Source organism: Homo sapiens, chromosome 4 (genome assembly GCF_000001405.40).
Source record: "Homo sapiens chromosome 4, GRCh38.p14 Primary Assembly".
In the NCBI taxonomy this organism is placed as follows: Eukaryota; Metazoa; Chordata; class Mammalia; order Primates; family Hominidae; genus Homo; species Homo sapiens.
In genome coordinates, this window is record NC_000004.12 from 60,779,160 (window position 1) to 60,798,205 (window position 19,046).

At 36.1% G+C, this 19,046-nt stretch overlaps 1 long non-coding RNA gene and 1 pseudogene across 1 annotated transcript in view; both read left to right on the plus strand.

Annotated features, from left to right (window-relative positions):
• The window catches only part of LINC02496 (long intergenic non-protein coding RNA 2496), a 45,534-nt gene extending 28,593 nt beyond the window's left edge, over positions 1-16,941 (plus strand). The window contains exons 2-5 of the long non-coding RNA NR_183857.1: positions 9,175-9,293; positions 10,656-10,961; positions 14,028-14,099; positions 16,420-16,941. This is a non-coding gene — a long non-coding RNA (long intergenic non-protein coding RNA 2496). The remainder of the gene's footprint in view (positions 1-9,174; positions 9,294-10,655; positions 10,962-14,027; positions 14,100-16,419) is intronic.
• LOC100421808 (protein phosphatase 2 regulatory subunit Bgamma pseudogene) lies at positions 4,994-5,537 on the plus strand (annotated as a pseudogene).
• Positions 16,942-19,046: the final 2,105 nt, after the last annotated feature.

A 19,046-nucleotide genomic window follows, 5' to 3' on the forward strand; every position in this document is an offset into this window, starting at 1 on the left:
AAGTAATATTAAATAACAATTTTTATAGTATAAATGAGGTTAAGCTTGAGTATTCATTGGGATACCATTGAACACAAGTGACAGAATATTTAACCCATACCAGCTTAAGAAAAAAATACACTGGCTTGAGAAATAGAATTTTTTATGCCAGTATGAAGTTTTTCATCCAGGCTTGATTCTGGGACCTAAACAGTGTTGACAAAACCCAGATCCTCTAGTTTCTCACTTCTAATTTATGTGGGTTAACCATGTTAATCATTTTCAGGATGATCCATACATGTAATTTTCCAGAACTTTTGTCTATTTTGTTCATTTCTGTATTCTGAGTGCCTATGCTTGGCACATGGTAGATGTAGCAGAGATATTTGTTGAGTAAATAAATAAACAAAAGATGAAAGCAAGATGGCTATAGTAATTCCAGCTTGCCATCCTTCTAGCTTCAGTAGAAAAAAGTTTTTCACGTATATGAGCAGCCCTGGTCTAAATCTCCGTGAGTCTCTTTAGTTCGTCTTTGAACCAAACAATGGGTCTTTATCCAGATTTGGACAGAGGCCAATCCCAAAAGATAACTGTCCCATCTCAATCAAGATGGAGGAGAAATGGGTAGTTACACAGATGAAAATACCAAAAGAATATGCTATAATTTATAGGAACTCAAAAGATGGCAAAGAGTCATTATTGTGTATCTATGTTAGTAAAAAAATAGCCATGCATAATCCTAATATATAAGTTATGCCTATGGAGCAATGAATAGACTTTCCTCTATTAAGAAAGGTAAAATTTAAGAAACGTTGTATAAAATCATTCAGGGATAATGTTTTGCAAAATGCAGGTTTTGTTGATTGAGCCAAGATACTCCAAGTTTGCAGTTGGCTGTGTAAGGTGAAATCAACAAATGCCTTTCTTCTTAGAGAGGATCACATAGAAGAGAGCATAAGTCTGAAAGAAGACTAAAAAAGTGATGACCTGTTAAGACGAATTAGTTACCTTTTGTATTAGAAAGCAAAAACAAAGCACAAGAATGGATGACCCCACTCACGGAAGGCTTTTCCATTACAATTTTATCTTCAGTATTCTTCAATGGATTGGTAAAAATGCTTTTTGAATGGGTTTCAAGGCACGAATCCATTGATTTACTTAGAGACTCAGCTATCAATACAGCGTCTCCAGGCTGTCTGGCACACCAGTCACCTCCAGGCAGTGTTTTAAATGAAGAGTAGGTAAACTGCCTTCATGTTTATTGTAGACTTTCATCTATTGATTAAGAATTATACTAAATAATGAAATATGAAGAAAATTGCCCATTGCCTAATATTTCCGTATAATATGTTGATGATGTCATTCTCAATACAGCCTGGGCGACAGAGGGAGACTCGGTCTCAAAAAAATAAAATAAATTAAAAAAAATAGTGCATAAAGTGAAAAAAACAAGTAAGGATGAACAGGTGGGCTAGTATTTTTTTTTAAGAAAATCATTACTTTCATGTAGAAATATTCAGGATTGATGATACGAAATGAGAAACACCTAAAGTTATGAGAACAGTAGCTTGTGATTACAGTCATAATTAAGGAAGATTTTATAACAATTCATATTTTCCTTGCTGAATTTTCTGCTTTTCATACTCCATAATTCAGCAATACTACACCCCTTGTATATGCTGAACTTCCACTATTTTACATCTCTATACCTTTGTATGTATTGCTTCCTTAATTGTAGCACCACCTGGTCCAGATGTCATCTTTTTTTTTAACTTGCTAACTTTCTGAAGGTTAACTATTTCATTACTCTATGACTGCACTGTGTATACGAGTCTGGCACTTAGCAGATATCTGATAAATATGTATTTAATTAATATACTTCTACTCTAGATTGCCTCATGAACTATATCTTTACTACAACACAGTGAACTCACTGAATACATTTGTTATGTGTCACCCAGCTTTGAATCATCACCTTGTCACACACACAGTAATGATGTTATCAAAGTAAATTGACATGTGTTATGGGTTAGCGTGATGAGAAAATAGAAGTAGAGAAACTCTTCAGAAATGTACCAAATTTTCATCCTTAAAGAAGCACCGTATAGTTATTTCAAACTCACTATTCAGGTTATTAGATTAACAAAAATGCTATATATTACTGAATTAGTCACTAATACAATATAAATGAGTTTGGGATGCCACAGGGCTTTTGTAAAAGCATGATGCTCTTTGGATTAATGCTTTTAAATCGTGGTGAGACTAAAGCTGATGGACTCTCAGCAAACTTAGTGGTATCACAGCAAAATAGCTGGAGATACCAACAGCTCTGTTTTGTAGGTAATCATTCACTAAGTCCAAGATGATATAATTTAAAATATATTATTAATAAAACTTACAAAATGATGTAAGGTGCGGTGATATTGTAATGTTTTTGGAGATGCATGAACCAGATTTGATAAGAAGAAATTCTGTGAGGGATTCAATTTACTTGACCAGCTATCCCCGTCCACTAGAACCTTAACTGTAAATGTCAGGTTTGTCTTCTTGTCTTGTTAAAAAAATATTGGAGTTATGTTTTCTTAGTTCATAAGTTGGAATTAATAAAATCATTGTAACTCAATTTTCTAAGTAACAAATCTTAATGTTAGTATATGGTTATATAAAGAGACCACAATATGCATGATATAAAATGCTTTGTTCTTAGATATTAGTAAAACTTACAGCCATGAGCCATTAGGGAACTGCCCATCTTTTCTCTTGCCACTTAGCTTAACTTAGATTGAACGCATCCTTGTAACACAACCGACATAGCAATTTCAGAGACATCTCAAGCTACAGAAAGTCCAGTCCTTAATATATAGTCTTTATTATGTGTTCTCCTATAATTCTGATATTTTATTCATGTTATTATTATTCTGCAGAGATCTTTTAAATACTATGGTTGTATATGACTGCCAGGGAATGACTTCTATGCTGGTATCAAAGAAAATGTACAGTTTTTCTCGACTTCTGATAAGAGTAAAACAACTTCCACATAGAGTGTCATACAAGATGTTTCTTCCATTCTTTAAGGGCTTTGCTATCTATAATTTTGTTTTCTGTGTTGAATCTTTATTTCCCCAAGTATCGATAAGTAAAACTGTATAAAATTACTCATTATTTGTTGCTTTGATTTTACATTTTTTGTTTTATACTCTGTTAATTTGGTTTGCATAATGATAAAATGCAATAAAATAAAATAAAATAAATAATATTTATGACAAAATCCTATAAATACTATATAAATCTATAAGAAATGTGTGAAATAAGTAAAAGCACCAGCTCTGGAGCCAGTGAAAGTGGTTGCAATCTCAGCTGTACCATGTGACCTTGGGAAAGTCACAAATGCTCCAAGACTACATTTCCTCATCTTTAAAATGGGAAAAATAATAAAGCCTGCCCCCCAGGATCACTGTTAGGATTAAATGAATGAATAATATACAAAACTTTTAGAAGTGAAGCACCATAAAATGTTTGCTTTAGAAATATACAATGATTTGGTTCTTAGACTATTTGAAATGAATGGAAAGCCTGAGTAAGAGAATTTTTAACAATATTATGTGATTACCACAAAAGCATGTAGCTGTTTAAAACATTGAATCAAAACCACTACAAACTTAATTTCATTTGGGTCATTAATACTCCCTAGGAAACTTTCCTTCAGCTGTTTCTTCTAATGATTTCCCTTAATAGATATCCCTAAATTTTCAAATGTCTTCTCACAGCTCCTATATTACTTATGCTTCGGCCTCAACACACGGCTGTGCTTCCCACTTTTCTGAGTAAATTAGGAACATCAGCAAAGAACCCTTTCCACTTCCTTTCAGGGCAATAACAAAGCTATTAGGGCTCACATTTTTCCCTTTCTTTCTTTCCTCCTCCTACAATGAGAGAATGTTCACCAGGTGTGTCCTTTATTCTATCCTTATTCCCGTTATCAAGGACTTTGTGCTAACAATCATCAATTCTATATTAGAACAACTCTCTTCGGGATTCTATATGTACCTCAAATTCAGCATATCCAAAATTGAATTTGATTACCCAGCTCACTCTTTATAAACTAATATTCTTCCTGTCTTCCCTATCTTGGTGAATGGGACCACTCCCCAGCCTGATATCCAAGGTTATAGTCACTTCGCATCTTTCCACTCCCTAATTCACCACATTCAGTGTAAATCTCTTTTTCCTTTAGACAAAAAACTTCTTTCCCCATCCTCATTAGAATTCCATCAGTTTGTTCATCTTCATCCATATTCTAATGTTTGAATTATGGCAACAGCCTTCTACCAGGATGACCTGCCCCTGGACTTGACGTATGAAAAAGCAAAGGGTAACACCAAAAGAAATCTACTAACCAGTGGTATATTGAAGCCAGTTCCTGCTGGTTCATGAGAACCAATCGTTAAATGCTTAGTGATTTTTTGAGTGGATTTTCAAACTACAGGTAACTTAAAATCACTCACGGGGAAAATATCTATACTACAAAAAGCAGCAAACACTTCAACAGATTTACCAGCACATGACAGGTCTCCACTCTAAAGCAAGACTAATTTTTATGATTTCATTTCAAGAATAATTTTTATGATTTCTTCAAGAATAATTTTTATGATTTCATTTTCATGTTTAAAATTGGTTAGTGGTCTCATCTTCTTCCTGCTCAACCATGGTGGTTAGAGTGGAACAACAGAACTTCTCAACCTCCACACTTCTGCCGTTTTTCTACTTGGTAAAGCCTACTGTTCTTGCCAGCAGATATATTGCCCTTGTGCCTGTCTCAGCTCAAAATAATCACGAACCTCAAAAACTGTAGAATGACTTGTCGTCTGCATCTTCCTATTATTTTGTCTTTTAGTGGCTTTTTGTCCTGTATATTGAGAAATGTTGCTACATGGATCTGGTCCCAGACATCCCTTATAATCAGGACCATCTTCCCCTCCCATACATTCTTTTCCTTCTACCATGGATAGGGTAAGTTCAAAAAGCTGACATTATTTCTCTAGTTTCGTTCAAACACTGGGGACGAGGGAGGCACTGGGTCATCACCTTTCATTAGGAACCAGGGAATAAAAATGCAAAGTCTGACAAATGTAGGTTTTTACTGTACTTTTTACAGAGTCATGAGCTAGAGTTTTACTACCTGGAGAGTTTGTATATGCAGGGAAAAAAATCAAAAGATTAAATAGCTCCTTCAGCAGAATATGGCTAATTTTCTCATCCTCACCATCATAAGCAAACAAGAAAAATTATCAAAGTATTGAGGATTACTGAAGGGAATTTAAACAGTCCCAACCAATATAACCTAAAAGATGAAGAAAAGAAACTTAAGACCTTTCCACAGTAACATTACTAGTAGTCACTGTGCTAAATAGAGATCTGATTATAGAAGTAAGAGTCTTTGCCAAAGTCTCCATCATTCTGTTATCAGTGATTGTGAGACATGCATCTCACTAAGAGACCTTAGTGTCATCTTCTAGCACTTGACCTTCAGTATTAGAAGCTTTACTTTAGTAACAATTGCTACCTAATTCTAACCACTTGTTGTCACATACTTGGTGACATCAACAAAGAGAATGACAGGTATAGTCTAAGGCTTCCCAGCTACCTTCTTTGCACACCTAAGGTAAAACACTGAAAGAATGGATACTCTGAGGTCAGATGAGTTATCATTGCATATTTGATATCCAGGCCATAAAGAGAAATATGACAGTTTACAATGTCCCTGTCTTTTAAGTAACCACACTTGAGTGAAAGTCATATGCCATAATAAAGCATTAAAACATCATCTATAAATGTTTATTTCTGAATTTAAAAAAATCTATAAACTCCATGAGGAAAAAAACTTTCTCTGTTTTGCTCACTACTCACCTTTACCATCTAGGATGCTGCTTGGCATTTTCTAAGGTTTTAAAAAATATTTATTGGTTTAATGAATATATGGTGATATGAATGTGTTATTAAAAGAAAGGAGCACAGAAGAAGAAGTTAATAATTCCATTTCAGAAGCTCCAGGCACTAGTCTATTCCCCATGATATAGAATAAAACAGCAGTCCTGCCTTCCAGGTACTATCTGTCTGAAGAAGACCCTGAAACACTGAATAAGTACTTAGTTTTGTCTTCTTCTGAATGTGCAATGTAGAACTCAAGTGTCTATGTTTCCAATCAATGTTTTAATTTTAAAAAGCAAAGACACTCAGAACCCAAAGACGCTATTGTTCCCAAAGTAGTTTGTATAAAATGTGAAGTGATTTTACAGATGTTCTGGAATATACACATAACTACAATAAATGCATTGTGGCTACTGGCCAGTCACCAGGTCTCTGTGTGTTGATCGGCCACAGACGAGAGCTCTGTAGCCGGTGATAAAGCTCAGAGTGGAGGGCATTGCAGGAAGGCAGAAAGTGACATCACTCTGGCTTAATCCATGATGCCTTGATTCCAACAGGCTTGTTGCCAACATAGACATAATTGAAGAACTCTAGACATTTAAAAAGCCATGTTACCTCTTACAATTTTTCCCACAGAGTGGATGTAAAGGATCAAAAACAATGAGCAATGTGGAGATCAACATAATTGGATAAAACCTAACCAGGTCATCATGTAGCCTATAGAAAGGGCCACTCTATAATCAAGCAAAAATGCCAAACCAGTTTTCCTAGTGATGACCCATCTTTTGAACCTGGAACTGTAGACATAGATTGGGGATCATGAGGCTTTGGAATACTGGCTCTTACGCTCTTTTGATTCTCTGTCCAAGGGATCTTATATCTTTCAGCTAAATTTAAAAGATGAAACATAATCTTATAGCTCTAGCATGAATAAATCACACGTTAAATGTTCTATAATATTGTGTTTACAATAAAGACTAATAAATATCAATTATTGAGCATGCAATTCTATTTTTTGATGTCTCCAGGTAAGTGACAACAGTAAGTTCAAATCAGAGAACAGTTGTCACTGAAATACAGCTTCTAACAGTGAAGGTCAAGTACTAGAAGGTGATCTTCAGGTCATCTGCTGAAATGTATGTCTCCAGAGGCTTTTAAGACCTGCAGAGTTTTCCAGCTTTTCATCTCAGTCACTATAATTAATCATTAATTTTGTTTGAACTAATCTGAAAAGTTATGTCAACATTTTTAAATTGCACAAAGTTTACAAGGTAGGAAGTTGGCCAGAAATGAGGAAATATTATTTAAAAGATGAAAAAATCAGAAATAATTAGTGAAAGAATGAGCAAAATGTATGAATCATGAAGAGTTGCAAATGACCTTTACATATGCCAAAATCATCAATGAGAAAAACCAAATCCTGTGATGAAATATTGATTTTTCAATCAAAGTGTCATTTTATATATACTCTGAAGCTGACCAATATGCTTTTGGCCAAATTATTTTTAGCCAAATCACCTAGCGTTAACAAATGGGCAATTACAACATGTTGGGAAATATGCCGAGAGCTGGATAAGTGTAAGACACCGTGGAAGCACATAACTCCATCTGCCTGCAAGGTATGAGTCAAAGGAGGCATCCCAGAGTAAGGAACCCATAGGTGGAACCTGGAAGGGCAAACAGTATTAAACAAGGTTAAAGTAGAGAAGAAGAACAAAAGAAAGAGTCTACTACACATGGAAAACTCCGGCATGATAGGAAGCAAGCACATTTCTCTTTGGCTGGAACAGAGAAACAAGAAATTTATTGTCAGCACATAGCACAATATCTGATATGTATTAAGCACACTGTAAATATCTGTGAATAAGTTATTTTATCTTGCTTATCTGTAACTTCTATAATGAGTATATATTCCTTTTGCACTGAAGAAAAACACACACACATTTATCAAAAAAGGAGATTATAATAGTACTTTTTTAACAAATTCCATGATGCTCCAAATTAAGTATTTGCAAAACAGGTGACTGAGGTTGCATTTACACCCAACTAGTGGATTCAATCAAATGTGTCAAGTGCATCAATTTCCAATTATATTCTTTGAGCAAAGATGTCTTGTTCACTGTTGTCTCATCAGCAACTAGCTCAGTACATACGTCACACTGCACATATTTAATAACTCCGGACTGAATGTGAATATGCTGTTTCCAACCCTTGTGGACTTAGTTTGGAATTCTCTATTGATCTTCATATTCAATACCTCTTGGACATTTCACTTGGATGTCTCATAAGCAACTCAACACAAAATTTCAAAATATGTGCCTTTTTCTGTATTCCTTATGCTAGTAAATGGCACAACTACATATGATATTGTTAACTATTAACTTTTTTCTCAATTACTGACTGACTTCATCAATTACTAAGACCTATCCATTCTCTTTCTAAATCTTTTGAAATCCTTTCACTTTTGCTATGTCTCCTGCCATTCTCCAAGCTCTCATCCCTTATTAACTGGATTATAGTCATATCCTCCTAATTCTACTGACTTCTACCTTAGTGTTATCACAATGATCTTTCTAAAATGCAAATTTGATTAATTTTTACCCTTTAAAAATCCTTTAATATCATTGGGATACCATTCAGGATAAATTTTATACACTTCTTTAAGTTAGTCTTTCTAATAATCTTTGAGATTAAGACTACCTAGCTCTACAAAGAATTTAGAGGTCCCAAAAGAATTTATAAATTGTATCAAAATGTTTCTATAAAATATAAGGTATCCACTATCTATAAAATGTAAATGTCATGAGTTATTTACTAAAAATGAAATATAAGATACTTTTTCATGATTTTAATCTAATCAGATCACTGCCTATTATAATTTTACAAACAACCCACACATTTTTCACAGGTTTATTGCTCACCCTTCTTTAATTTTCCTATGCTTGATTTTGACACTCAGAGACACACAGATTTTTAGCCAAGGTGACATGACCCCTCAGCATTTTGTGCAATAAAATAATTCAGAGATACAAGGAAGGATTAATAATAATCCTTCGTACATTTTACTAATTATTTTATCACTTTTCTCTCCCTATTTTCCAAGAAGTTTCCCTGCCTCTTTAAGTATTTAAGCCACAGGGGAGTCAATATTCATGCCTTGTTTTGTTATTTGTTATACTTGCTCATGTCTCTTAACTGCAAGCTTTCTGCGACAGCAAACTATTTGTCTAGGATTGGTTCACCATGTATATTTCCTGTCTTAAACAGTAAATAAGAAGAACCAGCTGGTACCTGTAACATAAAAGAACAGCAAGAATACAGAAACAAAGCAAATCATGATTCAGAATGTCACAATCATCTTGGATCTTTGCACTTGCATCACAATGGTAGAATGTCCAATTGTCTTCCCCTCCTCATCTAAAATAGCACCTTTATTGAACTGGTATCTCTGCACTATGCTATATAGACTGTTTTTTCTTCTGCATACTAAAATATTTTCTTCTACTTTGCTAATTCACAGTTTGTGTGGGTATTTTATTGCTTCCTGTGTATTTTCTGCCAATAACCTTTGATTTGTTTTTATCAGTTCACATTATTGATTTTATGTAGTGAAGCTTCAATTTGAACAGAAAAGCAGTTAACTTCATTTAACTTTTTTACCTGTTCCTCCTATAGATGCCATATTACTGGTGTTTCTTTTTAAATGTAATCAAAATAAACAATCAAGCACTCATTTTCAATTGACCCAAAGACTAAATTTTTCTTTTTAAAATATCATTATGTTTTCTTATGCTATCTCTTGCACACTATAGACTAAAACACAGAGAAACTTTCATTTGAATGCCTATGTCAGAGGTGTTTGAACCAGAGCAACTCCATCTTGACTAGGGGCTTGGTAAAATAAGGCTAAGATTTTCTGGGCTGCATTCCCAGGAGGTTAGACATCCTCAGTTACAGAATGAGACAGGAGATTGGCACAAAGTACAGGTCATAAGGATGCAGATAAAAGAGGCTGCAGTAAAGAAGCTAGACAAAACCCACCAAAATCAAGATGGCGACATGAGTAACATCTGGTCATCCTCACTGCTACACTCCCACCAGTGCCATGACAGTTTATGAATGCCATGTCAACGTCAGGAAGGTACCCTACATGTTGTAAAAAGGGGAAGCGTGAAAAATCCACCCCTTGTTTAGCATCCACTCCTTCTTTAATAAAGAAATAACCATAAAAATAGGCAACCAGCAGCCCTCAGGACTAGCCATTCTCTTATTCCTTTACTTTCTTAATCAACTTCCTTTCAATTTACCCTGTGGACTCACCTCAAATGTTTTATTGTGAGAAATCCAAGAACCCTCTTTTGGGGTCTGGATTGGGACTCCTTTTTGTTAACACCCACAACTACAAACAAATGCCCAGTATAATAAAGCTACATTTGGATTTCAGCTGATTACTGTAGAAACAAAACATTGTTGATATTTACAAATAATTTTATCAGTAATTTTATGAAAAGAGAGCTTTCTATCGTGCCTAATAATGTATTAATCAATTACCAAAAAAAAATGGCCACAAATTCCTCTCTTCCTCAATGCATGTACCCTTGCAATATGACTTTGCTATTAGGAGGTGAGATCTATCTCTCTGCTTATTGCTTCTGTATTAGATTCCATAACTAATTGGATATTAACAAGCAGGAGTAAGCAGAGGCTTGAAAACAACTTTTACAATCTTAATCTCTTCCCTTTTACAGTTGGGGATCTTTTTATCTTCATGTAAAGAAGCCCTGGCTAGCCTAATGTAGGAACCACCTGCAGCAGAAACAAGCCATCCCAACGGAGGAGCCCTAATGCCAAACAAGAAAGTTGCAACCATCCTAAACTCTTCAGCCCCAAGCAAATCACCAGCCCCAGTCACATCACCAGCTGATGGTAGAAATCCAACATGCTAACCCGAACCAGAGGAATAACCCAGCAGCTGACCCAAGACTGGCAAACTAATAAAATGGTGGCTATTATAAGTTTTGGCTTAGTTTGTTATGCAACAATGGATAAAATAGGTAAGGGTTTGCTCTCTGTATCACAGCCAGATAAAAATGACAAAGGTACAATGGGAAGCTGCAACTTAGCTGGTTCTGTCTTGTTTCCTGCCACCAAGAAGTAATTATCCTTTAATTTCCTTTACTCCTTAGGGTTTTTTTTTTTCTAATCTCAATCATCAAAAAAATGTTATCCAAAATCCCAAGCCACCCAAGAAAACACAGTGACTCAAAGGGACAGTTAAAAACCTAGAAAAGAGTTTATTTATACATTTTAACAGCTGCAATTTTCCTTGTTCCACTATAAATCTGATCATAATACCTGCATTTATTACTGAAGCCTCAGAAAGCAAAGGTGGCTTATAGAATCATACTAATTTTAAACAATATTCATGATTTAAAAAAGGAACTGGCTATCTCATAAGGTTTGTTAGAATTTAACAACATAAAAAATTACATTTAGATAACCTTATCATTTAAAATCGTTTTAGCTTTTGTTAGTCAGATAAATATTGAAAAATGATGTCTCTAAATTCTCCTCTGTGATAAAATACATATTTAGTCTTTGTTTTTGATTCCTGTTGCAGAGCTCCTAAAACCATTGGAATTTACTGATTGAGAGGAGCATCTGTTGTTATTCATAATCAGTCACTTTTGATCACACCTGTGTTCATGCTAATGCAGTGACTTAGGTTGGAGCCCCTAGATAGCCTCAGGATTGTGCTTGTCAACAGAAAGGCCTATTGATTAGAGGGTTAACACTTTCAGCCCCACCTTCTGACATCTGAGGAGCAGAGGGAGACTAGAGAATATGCTCTATAAAAACTCTTGAACAAGGATATTTGATGAGCTTTGTTGTTGCTGAACAGGGGGTTTACTGGGAGGATGGTATACCCAGAGCAGGCCTACAAGCTCTGCAACACCACCGCCCAGCCCTCCCCCATATCTTGCCCTATGCTTCTCTTCCATCTGGCTCTTCCTGAGTTGTATGCTTTATAATAAACCAACACATTTAAGTTAAGTGTTTCCCTGAGTTCTGCAAACCATTCTAGCAAATTACTGAATCTAAGAAGGGAGTAGTTGAAACTTCTGACTTATAGGTGGTCAGTCATAAGTAATAGGGGACTGGACCTGGCACTTGGCATCTGAAGTGGGGCCAGTCTTATGAGACTGAGCCCTTACCCTGTGAAATCTGATGCTAAATGTAGGTAGACAGATAGTATCAAAATTGGATTAAACTCTAGGGCACCCAGCTGGTGTCCATAGAGTTGGAGAATTGCTTGGTGTGGAAAATACCCACACATCTTGTGTCAGAAGTGTTGTGTGAACGTGTAGAAAAACAGTGTGTTTTTTGTAATCTATCTACTCTGTCATGAATGAATGATAGAGTATATATTTATTTATACATATTGTCAGTTATATATTTAGATAATTATGTTGAACACAACTTTATTCAAGAGGCCTTACAGATTCTCCTGTTTTTTCCCACTAGTCAGTGTGTTTACAAAGAATAAATTTAAGAAAATTTAATAAGAGATAGCCAGATATAAGAACTATAGTTTGGCAATCAAAATCCACTATAGCTGAAAGTTTTATGGATTTTATAAATTATTATACCATGTTACACATGGAAGGATATTTATCAATTATTATAAACCATGCTGTAAACTATATCTATGTTATATACTAATGGGCTGGATTGTTGTGGGTTTTTTTGTTGTTAGTAGCTTTTTTTATTAAGCTCTTTATTTTGAAATAATTACAGATTCACAAGAAGTTGTGAAGGTTGTTACATTTCTGTGTTCCTAATGTCTCCTGTACAAAATCTGTAATATATGAGACAAAAAGAAAACCCAGGGATTCCTCAATGTTTCAGGACTCAAGGTCTCCTCTGCTTTCTTTCCTCCATCTTCTATAGTTTTCTTATTTTTGTTTTGTATACAATAGTCAAGTTCCTTAGCTATACTTAAAATAATAAGGAAAATACTTTTCTTTATTCTCACAAGCAAAGTCATTAGGGGAAACTCCAGTAAATTATGTAAGAAGTATGTGGGAGTTGTATTTAGACATCATTGAAGAAAAGAATGATATAGTTCAAAATATTATCTGAGTTATGTTGATGTTCTTTTTGCTACTTTTTAAGTAAAGCTTTCAAAATAATCTCTATGGCTCTCTGTATTCTAAAAGCTTTCTCTGTTCCTATTCATTCAATCAGTTCTATAGAGAATTATTGAGAGCATAAATTTATTAAAGGAACCTTATGGATTTTCCTACTTTTGCTGCGATTTATTGTTTAGTATGTTTGTAGGAAATAAATGTAAGAAAATTTGATAAAATCCAGAAAAAAATAGCTACAGTACCACATTCAAGTCCCATTGTAGCTCAAGTTTTTATAAATTTTTAAAAACGCCGCAGCACATTCATCATGGAAAGATGTTGCTCAGTTACTATAAACCATGATGTGAGCTATACACATAATACATAATGGTAATTTTATATTATTATAATGGCTCATAGTCACAAGTACCAAGGGGGGGTCTCAAAAAATTTCAAGAAGTTCTCCAAGGTCCTACAGTGACTCTCTCAGAGAAAACAATCAAAATCTCTTCTTTATAGAGCAACTCAGAGTATCCAATTCTAAGTATTTTAGACATTAAGCAAACTATAATAGTCTTTTGTTTCAAGAAATATCTTTATCTAGTGTCTTTTTCCCTGGAGAAAATTATTCACCTGTACCATAGGAATTCATTGCCTATAAAAGCATTGTTTTAGTTTCAAATGGAAAAACCCCAGAAAATAAATATCTAGATAATAGCGTTTTTACACCTCTATTCAGAAGGGTTTGCTTTATTTTCTGTTTGTTTTATCATACATATGCTTGTAGTATTCTATGAGCCAGACTGCCTTAGGCCAGATCATAGTATTAAGAAATAGAATATAGAACTAAGTAACATTGTCAAGGCAAGAATGACAATGATTTTACTGGTAATAGGGGAGACCTTTGACTATAATTTAGTCCCATCCTTAGGCTAATAAAAAAATCCTGTTTTTGTAGTCTCTAACATAATGTATTTATTATTCTGTAAGGGCTTCTTTGACCACCAGACTTGGAATGTGCCTTCAGGAGAAATAAGACAGGCAGTGAAGCTGTTCCTGCAGGTGAATGTTGACCTCTCTTACTGTTTTTTTACTTGTTTAGTAGTAAATCTAAATGCAAGAACTTCAACCAAGCATGCATTGTCATCCTAAAGGGTCTTATAACCTGGACAAAATCACCTTCACCTAGCAAAATGGGTCATCACGTGCTACTTTAAAGCTACTTTGCAACTTCTTCAATCAGCTGGGCTTTGTGCTTCCTAGTATGCTTCCATGACATGACTATAACCAAAGCAAGCATATTAATAGCATTATCTGCCTCAGAAATGCACTCCAATACAGCATTGCAGCATCAGAGCATTTTCTGCTCCTCCCTTTTCGAAATAATAATAATTTAAAACCCTTAATGCATACTCTCTATTTTCTGTGTCTATGAAAATTAATTGGGGCTGAAGTATAATGTATTATTTACATTGCTCCTAGAATTTAAGCCCTTTGGTCCTTCAGAGTATTGCAATTTATAAAATTATCTTCTCCCAATATCCTGTGACAAATAGGTCACCACAATCCTCCTAAATTTATTAATGTGAAAAATGAAACAAGACAGTAAGAAGACCTGAGACTTATGAGAACAATACTGGGAGGGGAATGTACAAGTCTTGTACTCTAAAGTTTGCAGTCTACCAGGCCTTGAGTTGAATATTGGTTTTGTATGAGCAGCTTAAAGGCTGTGAAATTTACATGGAAAATAAGCACATGTAAGAACAATAATTAATGACAGTGACTTAAAAAAAAAACACAGCAAGTGCTCAAGATATACTGGAAACTTTGTACATGAGCAAGACAGCGCAAAACTAAATCAAGGACGTATGATAAACTACTTGTTGAAAATAAGCTCTAGATTTAGCTTTTGTTTCTCCTGGCAGCCAGGGAAATACCGATTTTATTATTAGAAAAATGAAAACACAGAAGTGTATTTTGAGAGCAAAAACATTATTTGCACTAAAGTCTGGGAAGTACCTACCTGGTACTCCCCAATATAAGGTTATTCTAGTAGGGCACAGTGTTTTCAGATATATCTTTGTAAAGTTATACAATCATTCTTCAAAAGACCATGTCTTATAAAAATCATAAGCCTTGGTAGATAAAGCCTGGGAAGCGAAACTAAATGACAACACATGAGAGCCTTCCTATAAGCAACTAAAATAATAGCATCCATAATATTATCCAGGTCGCCATGGACTGAACTGTTTACTATCACCCTACCCCCACCTCCCCCCGACTCCCCGGAAAAATACACGTATTAAACTGCAGGAGTCCCCAGCCCTAGGACCGCGAACTGGTACCCGTCCATGGCCTGCTAGAAACTGGACCACACAGCAGGAAGTGAGCGGCAGGCAAGCGAGCATTACTGCCCAAACTCTGCCTCTTGTCAGAGCAGCTGCGGCATTAGATTCTGGTAGGAGGGCGAACCTTATTGTAAATTGCACATGAGAGGCGTCTAGGTTGCCCGCTCCTTGTGAGAGTTTAACTAATGCCTGATGATCTCAGGCGGATCAGTTTCATCCCAAATTATTACGGTTCAAACGTTGGGGACTGCTGAATTAAAGCCTTATCCCCCAATGTGATATTTGGAGATAGGGCCTTTGGAAGATAATTAAGCTTAGATTAATTTATAAGGGTGGCGCTCTCACGATAGGAGAGCCTTTATAAATAAAGGTAGAGAGCAAGGGAGCTCTCGCTTTCTGCGTGTGCATGAAGAGATCATGTGAGCACACAGTGAGGTGATGGCCACCTATAAGCCAAGAAAACCTCAGAATTACATTTACCTTGACAGCACCTTGACCTTGGACTTCCAGCTTCCAGAATTGTGAGAAATAAATTTCTGTTGTTTAAGCCACCCAGTCTATGGTATTTTGTTATGGCAACCGGAGCAGATTTATACATAGGTATTTCCTTTTATCTTGCTCTAACATAATACGGTTGATATGTTTGGGAAAACTACTCTCTAAAGAGAACAACATAGTTAGCCTGTTCCTTAGACTGTATGTTTTAGTTACCAGATGTTTGCACAGAGATTGTTGGCAAGGGCTGGATTCCATATAATTCAAGTTTCAATTTTCTGTTTTTATAAAATCAATCCTGTGAAATGGTTAAAAGAAATACACCTTATATTTTTATAGCTGTTTAAGTTTTCCAACTTTTTTAAAAAAATATCTTCTCATCTTATCCCAACAAAACCCTGGGTTACAGACATATTTTTTTTCCATTTTACAGATAAGAAAACTGAGGGCTTTAGAGAAAAGTGAATTGCTTGAGATCAGTTTATTTATTCAATTGACATTAAATATGTATTTAATGCCTTCTTTTGTTTTCATTCCAGGCACTGCGCTTGCAGGGGGAATATGTTGATAAGTGATGCAAAGCCAGATGAGGTCTCTAGACTCTCCATAAAATCTCTCTTTCTTCAACCAGGTTATCTTACTTCTATCTGCAAGGCCCAGCACAACCATCATCTGTCAGGCAAGCCCAAACTTCTACAGAGATATCTCAGATACAATATCAAGTAACATTTACTGAAAGTTTGTCTATATTTTTTATTCAAGATCAGGAAAATGTCAATCTTTTCTATTGGTAAGGAACAATCCTGTTTTTCACTTTATTTCCTCACATAAGTGTGAATGTGTACAGCAAAATTTCTAGAGGTAGAGTAATATTCAAGTCTGCGGTCAGCCACTTGCCAAGTTTGCAAAGTATGGATATATTATTTTATATACCCAAGACTCAAATGTTCTCAACTGTAAAAAGTATATATTAGTAATTTCTATCTAATGGATTTTTGTGAGCATCATGTTATTTTCAAACACTTAAAACACCTGACATACAATAAATGCTCACTAAAACTAAATACTTATTAATAAGTGCCTCTCAGTATTACAGCGGCACATGTGAATCTCAGCTCACATTATAAGTTAGTATTCTCTAACTTAGCTTAATTGCCTACTCCAAATCCATTCTGCTTAGATTGATAAACACATAACCTAAGTTATCACCTTTACATCACAGTTATGCTAGAGGCCTGAAACCACCTATGGTGGCAAGCTCTTGATAAGACAGGAGGTTGGGGACATAAGATCCTTTGTCATTGGCCAGCTCTGTTAACCGCTATTATTTTTCGCGCTACCCTATGGCAGGGAAACTGGCCATGCCGCCTCGAATTCTCTCTGCTGAGATGTTTTCTGTCACCATCGCTTTCTTGGGCCTTGCTACATCTCTATTCTAGGACCCATATATTTTTATGCACTTTGTCTTCCATTTTTTTACTGTTCAAAGTAGTCTCTTTCAAGAAAAGAAAAATATTCTTTATCCCTTGTTTTGGTCTGTTTTCTGTTGCTTATAAAAGAACACCTGCAACTGGGTAATTTATAAAGAAAAAGAATTACTTTATTATGGGGAGCCTGAAAATTTCAAAGTTGAAGAGCTGCATCTAGCAAGGGCCTTCTTGCTAGTGGGGACCATGCAGCGTCCCAAGTGCTACAGGGTATCACATGGTGAGAGGGTTGAGTGTGCTTACATGCTAACACACTCAAGTCTTTCTTACTCTTTTTACAAAGCCACTAGCCACACTCTCAAGATAACCTATTAATCCATTAATGCATTAATCAATAAATTAATCCATTCATAAGGGGAGAGCCCTCATGACCCAATCATCTCTCACTACTGCCACATTAGGGATTAAATTTCAACTTGAGTTTTAGAGGGGACAGACACTGAAAACAAAGCATCTCTCATCACATTAGTTTTAAATCATCTTCCCACTTTAGTGTTTAATTTTTTAGAAGAAAAAGATCCACAAAATATGTTATATGTTTCTCTTCCCTGAGCCATCTTCCAAATAAATGAAAGAGGGAAAGATATTATCTAATGGCCCCAAATACTATTTCCACTCAAAATTCTGGTTCTTCAATTCTGGGACCTTGTGTCTGAGAGTACCGCCATCTGTGGGTAGGTTTCCTTGGTGCCTCTGCATGCTTCACCTCAGTGTAGAAGTAACATTGATTCCCAACCATCTGCCATGTCCCTCTGCCTGCCTTACAGGAACATTCCATTCCTCTCATCTCTGAAATGTCTGGCTCCAGCCAAAATCTTATGTATGATTTTTGAGACTTAACCATAAACAATTACAAAGACTTTCTCCTGCAGGCCTCACAGAGGAACACTGTCCTCCCCACAGCAGACTTGGAGCACAGAGAGTAAACTGCAGTCTCTGAAAGGAGTTGCAGTCAAGGACACAGGCCCTCCTGGCTGGCCAAGCTGTTAACACCCAACTGCTTCCCTATCTCAGGTGCCTCCATTTAGAGGCCTCTTTTATTTATTTATTTATTTATTTATTTATTTATTTATTTATTGTCACCCAGGCTTGAGTGCAATGGCAATCTTGGTTCACTGCAATCTCCACCTCCCAGGTTCAAACAATTCTCCTGCCTCAGCCTCCCAAGTAGCTGGGATTATAGGCGCCTGCCACCGCACCTGGCTAATTTTGTATTTTTAGTAGAGATGGGGTTTCCCCATGTTGGCCAGGGCAGTCTCGAACTCCTGACCTCAAGTGATCCACCCACCTTGGCCTCCCAAAGTGCTGAGATTACAGGCATGAGCCATCGTGCACAGCCCAGAGGCCTCTTTATAGGCCTCTTTATAGGAGCTGAGGCCTCCCCCAGTTGCCTCTGCTGCTAAGACCTACTTTTGGGGATTGGGGTGAATCTTGAGGTCACTTTCCCCATTCTCAGTACTCAGCACTTTTCCACCATGAGCTCTTCCTTTCCTCCTTTTTGTCAACCCACTGGTCCATGAAATGGCAGAGCCTTTGGTTCAAGGCTTCTTTGGGAGTGAGACAATTCCCACATGGGTGCTGATCCACTGGCCTGGAGCCATTACATGGCGGGAGGGTGCGGGGTGGGGCGGGAATGAAACGATGGAGAGCTGGCACTTGTTCCCATTTTATATCTTGCT